Genomic DNA, 9,346 nt, shown 5'->3' with positions numbered 1-9,346 from the left:
GCCTGGACACAGGCATAGGCACTGCTGCAATGGCAAGAGAAGCTCAAAAAGTTTTAAAACAAAATACATTATTTTATTTCAATTCCATGATTTTAAAATGCTTTTTATTTTTTTCTTTTTGCCCCTTTTACAGGGGAGACGTAAAGCTGTCCCAGTTATCAAAAAATTCAAATCTCCTTTTCTTCTGTGGACTGGCTGTCAATGAGCTTTCATCCAGGGTGTCTCCCATGTTCTGGGAACTACTTCCAGATGTTCCTGAAGCACTTCCTGGGTCAAAGGACTCTGCTGCTTCCAGGAGCTCCATATCACTTCCTTCTTTCTCAAAGGACTTCTGGAATAGGTCGTAGATCTTCTGCTGCTTTGGGTCCTTCATCAGAGAAAGAAAACAAAAGATAAAAGGAAGAGCCCAGGCTCCAACACTGACTCTCCTCCACTAGGGCTGATGAGAGAATATAAAGATGAGAGACCACACATTTCATGGTGTCAGGGAGCTACACGATGGCAAGTGTGCATCATCTCAGCAAACCATCACTAAAGCAGCCTCACTGTTTTAGTGTCTGACATCTTACCCTCTCTGTGCTCATTGAGTTAGGAAAAAGAAATGGTTGTGAGTGCAACAAAGAAGCTGCTCTCACGCTATAATTTACATTGGAAATGTTTTCTCCCTTTGAACTTTCCAAATCATTATTTCAATACTGAAATAGCACCCAAGATCTCACTTCCTCCAAAGCCTTTCTCTACTAAGGGTCAGTTAAGGTATAATTCAACTTCTAAATCTCTATTTTTAAATTTATTTTTATTTTTATAATTTTTTAAGAGATGGGATCTCACTAAATGTTGCCCAGGCTGGTCTCGAACTCCTGAGCTCAAATGATCTGCCCACCTCAGCTACCCAAAATGTTGGGATTACAGGTGTGAGCCACCATGTGCCCAGCCCCCCAACTTCCAAATCTCTGTGTTCAGCCATGGCTTATACCTAATTTTCAAAGTAGTTGAAAAAACATACACACATTTAACATATTCATAAGTAGATATGTGTACCTATTCTGATTACCTTAAATTACAAATAATCAAAATACCCACCAACTGCATCTATACATTGATGACAATGGTGTAGTGTTAAAACCATGCCCAGTGGATACAACCACAACACACGATCACTATCACCCCTCTGCCGATTTTTCCTACATCTAAATTTCCAACTTTGACCATTTTTCAATTTAGAGGTATATTTTCCATATCTCCACTGACATCCCACAGTTTCATAAAACTAAACTGGTTTAAAATCAAATGATCTTTTGGCTGGGCTCAGTGGCTCTCACCTGTAATCCCAGCACTTTAGGAGGCCGAGGCGGATGGATCGCCTGAGGTCAGGAGTTCGAGACCAGCCTGGCCAACGTGGTGAAACCCCATCTCTACTAAAAATACAAAAAATTAGCCAGACATGGTGGTGCGTGCCTGTAGTCCCAGCTATTTGGGAGGCTGAGGCACAAGAATCGCTTGAACCCACAAGGCAGAGGTTGCAGTGAGCCATCATCACGCCACTGCACTCCAGCCTGGGTGACAGAGTGAGACTCTGTCTCAAAAAAAAAATAAATACATAAAAATAAGGCTGCTGCAAGGGCTCACGCCTGTAATCCCAGCACTTTGGGAGGCCGAGGCGGGGGGATCATCTAAGCTCAGGAATTAGAGACCAGCCTGGGCAACATGGCAAAACCCCATCTCTATCAAAAATACAGAAAATTGGCCGGGTGTTGGCAGCATGCGCCTGTAGTTCCAGCTACTCGGGAGGCTGAGATGGGGGGAATCACTTGAGCCTGGGAGGCGGAGGTTGCAGTGAGCCAGCATAGTGCCACTGTACTCCAGCCTGGGTGACAGAGTGAGACCCTGTCTCTAAATAAATAAATAAATAAATAAATATAAAAAATCAAATGATCTCTCATCTCCTATATTCTCAAAGCAGCTTCTCTTCCCATAAGTCTAGTTTTTATAGTCTACCTGCATTCTCGTAGTCTCCCAGGTGGAAATCATCCAGGCAAACAGAGTCCTCGGCTTATGCAAGTTTGTTCCCCCCATTAGTTCCCTCCTCTCTCCTTCAGGCACCATCTTTACTTGGGCCACATCACTTGGTACTGCATGGATTTGCAACAGCTCAACTGCGCTTCCTGCCTCAGGCTTCTTCCCATTTCAAACAGCCTACAGATCTTTGCCAGCTGATTTTTACCCCCAGGCTCTCCTTTAAAGATTTTTTTGGTCATGTCTTTGGGCTCCGCTGTCCCTACCTCATCAAGTCTACAGTTGCTCCCCTGGCTTTTCAGGCCTTTATAGAATTAGGTCTCAACGTACCTGGCCACTGTTCCTCACTATTCCTTAACCAAATCCCTCCACATTGGTGAAGTAGAGTTCCTTGAAAATTGATCATGACAGCCTGTCATGTAAGAACTCCAGATTATTCAATTAACCTGCACCCGAAATCTCCTAGCCTTTCAGGATCCCAGCCTTGCAGAGAGGGAAATGATATGAAAGATCATCAAGGCTGACCCCCAAATAACCCACATGTCCTCCTCCAGGATGCCCTCATCAGCCTCTTTCTGAATGACTGCAATGTCAAGGAAACGCCACCCTGCAAGGCAGCCTATTCCAAGTAGAAAAAGCTGCTAATGTGCATTTGATTATGATGATGGCAACACTGTATGCTGACTCGGGGCATGCATAATTAATTGGAAGCGAGTTCCAAGATCAGATTAATATTTCATTTCCCCTCTCAGAAGGAAGGCTATCTCAGTGAGATATAACCTCTTCTGCTTTTGTCTCCTATATTGGAAGCAACATTTTCTTTTTCTAGTAGTTGATAAAATTTTCAGCCCCATCTTAATTAAAAAATAAATTGATATAGTTATTGATCAAAATATTGATAAAACTCATTTATATTACCTTGTACTTATATTTTAGGTAGAAATGCTTAACCAATTTAGAGTAAGAGAAAGGCAAGGAGGAATAAATGAGTTCAAGTGAGAATCCTTTAAAAATAGGCTTTCTTTTTTTTCTTTTTTGAGACAAGGTCTGTCTCTGTTGCCTAGGCTGAAATGCAGTGGTGTGATCTTGGCCCACTGCAACCTCTGCCTCCCAGGTTCAGGGAATCCTCCTGCCTCAGTCTCCTGAGTAGCTGGGAATACAGGCATGTGCCATCATGCCTGGCTAATTTTTGTATTTTTTGTAGAGATGGGGGTTTCACCATGTTGCCCAGGCTGGTCTCAAACTCCTGGGCTCAAGTCATCTGTCCGCCTCAGTGTGGGATTAGAGGCTTGAGCCACTATGCCTGCTCAGACTATTTCTTTTCAAAAGGCTTGTAATAACCTAGGCTCTGTTACCATTTACCATTCAGCTGAACTGGAGAGTTCTTTAAAAAGCTTAAAAATAAGGTTGTTTTAAAATTGGCTTATTAACTATATATGTCTGAAAGGATAATTTGCAGTCTGCATTTAAAAATATGATCTGAGTCTTATTTATCCCAATATTTAGCAAATAAATCCTTGCAAAGAAAGAATTTATTTGCTAAATAAATGTAAGTGAATGAGCAGATCCACAGAGTCTTAAGTCTTGGTGTCAACGATAAGATTTAACTCAACTTCTTATTTATTTAAACTTTTTTCTTTCTCTTTTTTTTTTTTTGAGGCAGGCTCTTGCTCTGTTGCCCAGTTTAGAGTACAGTGACCATCATGGCTAACTACAGCCTTGACCTCCTAGGCTCAAGTGATCCTCACCTTTTCCTCTGGAGTAGCTGGGACTACAGGTGTGCACCACCATGTGTGGCCTAACTCAATATTCTGATGGTGATTTCACAGGAAGGAGGAGGTGCTTCACTTTCCTGATAAGCTACCGTAAGGCCCCTTTCTGCATGAGGCTCAGACCTGGTTCAAACTCTCCTGGCAGAAACAATTCAACCATGAGCTGTGCTCGAGGAGGGCATACTCCTGGTTTTCACCTTCTGGCCAACAATCCAAGCTGGGGAAGGAAAACAAGCTTTTGGAAGGCTCTGGGTCTCTTGCTCACTCCACTGTGTTTCACTGAAATGGGGGAGGAAGAGTCTGTGGCAGCCACTGGGCTGCAGCACTGAAACCAGGCAGGCATGATGGGCCCAGGGCTGTCCTGTTCAGAGGCAACAGCCTTCCCCCTCAGCACCTTTGACAAGGCCTGCCTGGTCATGGAGGGATGCCTCTTATACTCCTTTACAACAAGGGCTGAGCTCAAAGGAGGAATGCTGGGCCAAGTCAGGAAGCCTTCTTCCTTGGGCTGGCTTCACATGCCCTGTGACTTTGTGCAAACCTACTATACTGCCATGTCTCAGTTTACCCCTCTATCAAGTGGGGAGACACTGAGAATAAATAAAATGACAGAAGGGAAAATATATTCTATGAAGCCAGTACCCTATTTTAAACACTCCCCATTCTGTGCTGGGGATGCATTCCTGTGGCAGCCCTATGTGTGGTGTTGCTGTGTACTTTTTGAAACAATTCAACATTTGCCATGGGGAGTTTTGTCAGTTTCTAATGGCCTGCTGGAAGAGGCAGCATTCAGAGCCTGTGCGGGAATGTCAGCAGCTGTAGGAGCTAATGCCATCATTTCCCCATAAAGCGATGCATGCATGGTTCAACTGAGAATGACTGCAGGCCATTGTTTTCAGCTCTAGGCTGGGGGAGGTCCCTAGGAGTGATTCACATCCTCCTACTCAGGACCCAAAGACTTGGCAGACAGCTTAATGCCTCCCTCTGCTCCAGGGGTGAAGAGCCATGTGCTGGCATTACCTTGTAGAGGTAATCAGTGGATTCTGTCATTTCTGAAAAATTGGTCTCAGAAAGCCCGGCTTCTGCCAGAACTTTAATCTTCTCTTGAATCAGGGGCCTGTTGGGGAGAAATGAGCTGCAGTGAATACAACCTGCACAGAACCACCAGACTAATGAAAATGAGGCCACCCTCCTTGTTCTTATGGGACAACGGCTTGTTTACGGTTTCACATCTCTGCATCTCTCAAGGTGCAAACACCCATCTTGAAAAATTTGCCCCCTCTCATTTGTAAAAACTCCAATTTAGGGCTAAGAATATCATCAGGTTCAATATTCTTTCTAATGGAAGATGTGTAGGAAATAAATGCTGCCTCATTTCAACACAATTTTGAATCTGGTGGTATTATGAGCTGCCCAATTAACAAATCCACTAAAAAGGGGGAAGTAGGAGTGACCCACACACATTGCAAAGGGAAGACTCCTTAGTCATAAGGCTGGAAACAGAGACAAGCAGTGGAAACAAATGAGATAATCAAGAAATTTTGTATCAGGAAGGGGGAGATAAGGGGAAGAAGCTTTTTGAGATTTTTCACTTAGGTAACAGACAGAAAACCCTAGGGTTGAAAATCTTACTCCAGCTCTGCTAACGAAGTACACTACACAGTCCAGGGTAAGCCACTTTCTCCCTGTGGTCCAGCAGCAGCAATGTAAGATGTGCCCACCAGATAAATGCACATCATAAAAGGTAAAAGACTGTCACCCTGTCCTAACAAATGCCTTCACAGCTGGGAACAGGGTGTTTTACAAACTAAATTCCATCTATATTTTGTCATAATCAGCACTTCTCCCTGCCTCAGACCAGCAGCAAAAGGAGCCACAACCCCTTATTGCTATAAGATTCAGCATGCACCCTGCAAGCCACCAGTGAACGCTAGTGAGGGAGGCCAAATATGGTCATGATGAAAGCAGGAGGGCATCACTAGTCAATTTTCTATAGATCCTTAAAGACCTTACTTAGCAAAAGCAGAAGCACTTTGGGAGCAAAGTAAACATATCATCAGTTTCCACCCTTGCTCGACTCCAACTGCCAGGCCACCCAACCAAGCCATACCAAAGGTAGTCATCAGCTGTGCCCTTTGCCACGAGGTAGTGAATGCCCACGGAGCTGGTCTGTCCAATGCGGTGCACGCGGTCCTCAGCCTGGATCAGCACCTGTGTGTCCAGGAATTGAGACAGGCAGGTAAAGGCCTGAAGCAGTTCCATCCACCATAGCAGGTATGGTTCCTCTCCACCCCATTTCCAGTCCCACCACAACCCTCCCTCCTCAAAGCACTTCACTGTCTCAGACCTAGAAATAACCTGCACTTTACCATCTCAGACCTACAAATGACCTGCCACTTTAACAAAAGAGAGAACCCAAAACAGCCCTGGCTGGGGAACTGGAATCTGAAGCAGAAGATCTGCAGGTGGCTGTTCAGTGCTGGGCACTGAGCTAGGTGCTGCAAATGAAGAGGCACAGGCTCTGCCATCAGGCTGCATGGGGAGGGGCTGGTGATGGAGGCCTGCACACTTCCATTTCTTCACTGTATGAAATAAAAAGTTATCTTCTAAATAAATAAAAACATCACACACAAGGGAGAGGCTATCCATGATTTGGGCATAGGGTGGTGGTTTAATATAGTGGTAAGCCTTATAATAAATACTTAAGGGCTGGATGTGGTGGCTCACGCCTGTAATCCCAGCACTTTGGGAGGCTGAGGCAGGCAGATTGCTTGAGCCCAGGAGTTCCAGAACAGCTTGAGCAACATGGTGAAACCCCATCTCTACAAAAAATACAAAAATTAGGCATGGAGGCGTGCACCTGTAGTCCCCTGCTACTCAGGAGGCTGAGGTGGGAGGATCACCTGAGCTCGGGAAATCAAGGCTGCAGTGAGCCAGTAAGTCCCTGCAGTCCAGCCTGGGTGACAGAGCAAGACCCTGTCTCAAAAAAGCAAAAGAAAAAAAAAACCACCTAACATCATGAGCATTATTTCTTGTATAAAATGGCTACACCCTCAAGGTCTACCCATTATTAATGTAGTCTCTTATGTGTAGCCAATAAAAACCACAATATTATTAAATATTATATAAATATTAAAGGGGATATAACTTTTCTGGAGATTACCAGAAAAATTTAAGAGTTCAAACAAATGTCTTATCTCTGTCCTCAGTTGGTCAGGTGAGGCCAGTGGTGGTGTCCAGGAAACCCTCACTGCTGTCACTCTGTGTGAGGTCCATTGTTAAAGCAGCTCACAATGATGGCTACTAAAGGGGGCACAGGCTGGAACGTGAGGCCTGGGCTGCAACCTGGTGCCACCAAGTGCCCTCTTCAGTTATGGCAGTGCAGTCCTGCCTCACCCCTTGAGCTCTCGGTGCCCTAACTTCCTCCTATGAGACATGAAGTCAAGATTCCTTCTAGCCCTGGAAGACTTCAACCTTCCCGTTGATAAAATGGAGTCGATAATCCTACAGGTTGCTGTGAAAATCTAGAAAACAGCCAATCGCCTGGCGTGGTGGCTCACACCTGTAATCCTAGCTACTCGGGAGGCTGAGGCAGGGGAATCGCTTGAACCCAGGAGGCGGAGGTTGCAGTGAGCCAAGATCATGCCACTGCACTCCAGCCTGGGTGATAAGAGACTCTGTCTCAAAAAAAGAAAAAAAGAGACTAGTCAATCAACATAGAAGTGCTTAAAGGAAGTGAAAACTGACTTGTGGGAAGTATAATGAATGGATAAAAGGGAAACCACACTTTCCCCGACCGACACTCACTGCTTCCTGCCCACAGCCATGAGCATGCCTGGGGAGTATCTGAGTCTTCTGCGTCTCTTACCCCTGGGTTCCAAAACAGCTCAGCAAACACCACCAGGTCAGCCGAGGAGAAGGTGAGGCCCATATTGGCAGCGGTGATGGACAGCACGGCCACAGCATGCCTCTCCGACAGTTGGAACTGCTGGCACAGGTCCTCCCGCTCAGCTGATGAGGTGGAGCCATCGATGCGGATGTGCTGCACGTGCTGCAGGAACAAGGGGCAGAAGCAAGGTGGGCAACAGCCCCGGGGGCTTCTCAGCAAACCACACCCAGCCACAGCTCCAGCACAGAACCAGGTTCCAGCTCAGCAGAGGCCCCTGCCTTCAGAGCTTTTCTTTTCAAATTGACATTGGTATTGAGATGACTGCTTATACTCAGGTGCCATTGTAAGAAATAATAGAGATCCCTCTTAGGCCTTTGCCCAGTTTCCTGCAGTGGTAACATTCTATAAAAACTATAGTATAATACCACAGCCAGGATGCTGACTTCTATACAATCCACTGATCTTCAGATTTCTTGTTTTACTGTATGTGTGTGTTCTACACAATTTTATCACCTGTGTAGGTTTTCATATATTCACCTCCAATGTTAAGATACTCAACAACTCCAACATTGCAAGGATCCTTTTACCTCCCTCCTCTTTCCACGGTCCTTAGCTCCTGATAGCCACTAATCTGACCTGAATTTCTAAAAACATTTTTTTTCTTTTTCTTTTTTAAGATGAAGTTTCACTCTTGTCACTCAGGCTGGAGTGCAGTGGCACGATCTTGGCTCACGGCAACCTCCGCCCCCTGGGGTTCAAGTGATTCTCCTGCCTCAGCCTCCCAACTAGGTGGGATTACAGGCGCACACCACCACATCTGGCTAATTTCTGTATTTTTAGTAGAGGCGTGGTTCCACTATGTTGGCCAGGCTGGTCTCAAACTCCTGATCTCAGGTGATCCGCCTGCCTCGGCCTCCCAAAGTGCTGGGATTACAGGCGTGAGCCACTGCACCTGGCCAATTTTTTTTTTTTTTTTCAAGAATGCACTATAGGCCAGGCACAGTGGCTCATGCCTGTAATCCCAACACTCTGGGAGGCCAAGGCAGGTAGATCACCTGAGGTCAGGAGTTTGAGACCAGCCTGGCCAACATGGCGGAACCCCGCCTCTACTAAAAATACAAAAATTAGCCAGATGTGCTGGTGTGCGCCTGTAATCCCAGCTACTCAGGAGGCCAAGGCAGGAGAATCACTTGAATCCGGGAGGCAGAGGTTGCAGTGAGCCAAGATGGCACCACTGCACTCCTGCCTGGGTGACAGAGCGAGACTCTGTCTCAAAAAAAAAAAAAAAAAAAAAAAAAAAAAGAATGCTATACAAATGTTATATAAATTGCACAGCATATAACCTTTTGGAATGGGCCTTTGCATTCAGCACTCTCTGGAGATTCATCCAAGTTGTTACCTGTATCAATAATTTTCTTCTTTTTATTGTTGAGAAATAGCCCACAGTATGGATATACCATAGTTTCACCATCCATCTGTTGAAGGACATCTGAGTTGATTCCAGTTTGGGGCTACTACAAATAAAGCTGCTATGAACATGTGTGTACAAGTTTTTCTGTTAACCTAAGTTTTCATTTCCCAAAGAAAAATGCTCAAAAGTCAATTGTTGTGTTGTATGGTAACTGCATGTTTAGTTTAGTTATTTTCTTTTAAATGGCATTTATTTATTCTT

General features: G+C 45.0%; 1 protein-coding gene across 2 annotated transcripts in view, besides 3 other annotated features; it reads right to left on the bottom strand.

Moving 5' to 3' along the window:
• Nucleotides 52-9,346, bottom strand: part of SMARCAL1 (SNF2 related chromatin remodeling annealing helicase 1) — a 70,570-nt gene continuing 61,275 nt past the window's right edge. For both annotated transcript variants that reach the window (NM_014140.4, NM_001127207.2), the window contains exons 15-18: nt 7,654-7,836; nt 5,896-5,996; nt 4,806-4,902; nt 52-367 (exon numbers count right to left, since the gene is read on the bottom strand). In NM_014140.4, coding sequence (NP_054859.2) covers nt 128-367; nt 4,806-4,902; nt 5,896-5,996; nt 7,654-7,836 — 621 coding nt within the window. In that variant the 3' untranslated portion in view covers nt 52-127. The remainder of the gene's footprint in view (nt 368-4,805; nt 4,903-5,895; nt 5,997-7,653; nt 7,837-9,346) is intronic.
• Nucleotides 7,685-7,854: an enhancer, noted in NCBI's record as "active region_17097". NCBI's record gives its function as "activates an Ori minimal core promoter by ATAC-STARR-seq in GM12878 lymphoblastoid cells {active_cell/tissue: GM12878}" and the evidence as "EXISTENCE:reporter gene assay evidence [ECO:0000049][PMID:35858748]".
• Nucleotides 7,685-8,272: a biological region, named in NCBI's record as "H3K4me1 hESC enhancer GRCh37_chr2:217339556-217340056".
• Nucleotides 7,772-8,272: an enhancer, noted in NCBI's record as "H3K4me1 hESC enhancer chr2:217339556-217340056 (GRCh37/hg19 assembly coordinates)". NCBI's record gives its function as "activates a minimal SCP1, AML or CMV promoter by ChIP-STARR-seq in primed H9 embryonic stem cells {active_cell/tissue: H9 hESC(primed)}" and the evidence as "EXISTENCE:reporter gene assay evidence [ECO:0000049][PMID:30033119]".

Source organism: Homo sapiens, chromosome 2 (assembly GCF_000001405.40).
Source record: "Homo sapiens chromosome 2, GRCh38.p14 Primary Assembly".
Lineage (NCBI taxonomy): Eukaryota > Metazoa > Chordata > Mammalia > Primates > Hominidae > Homo > Homo sapiens.
This window is presented reverse-complemented; position numbering and strand designations above follow the sequence as displayed.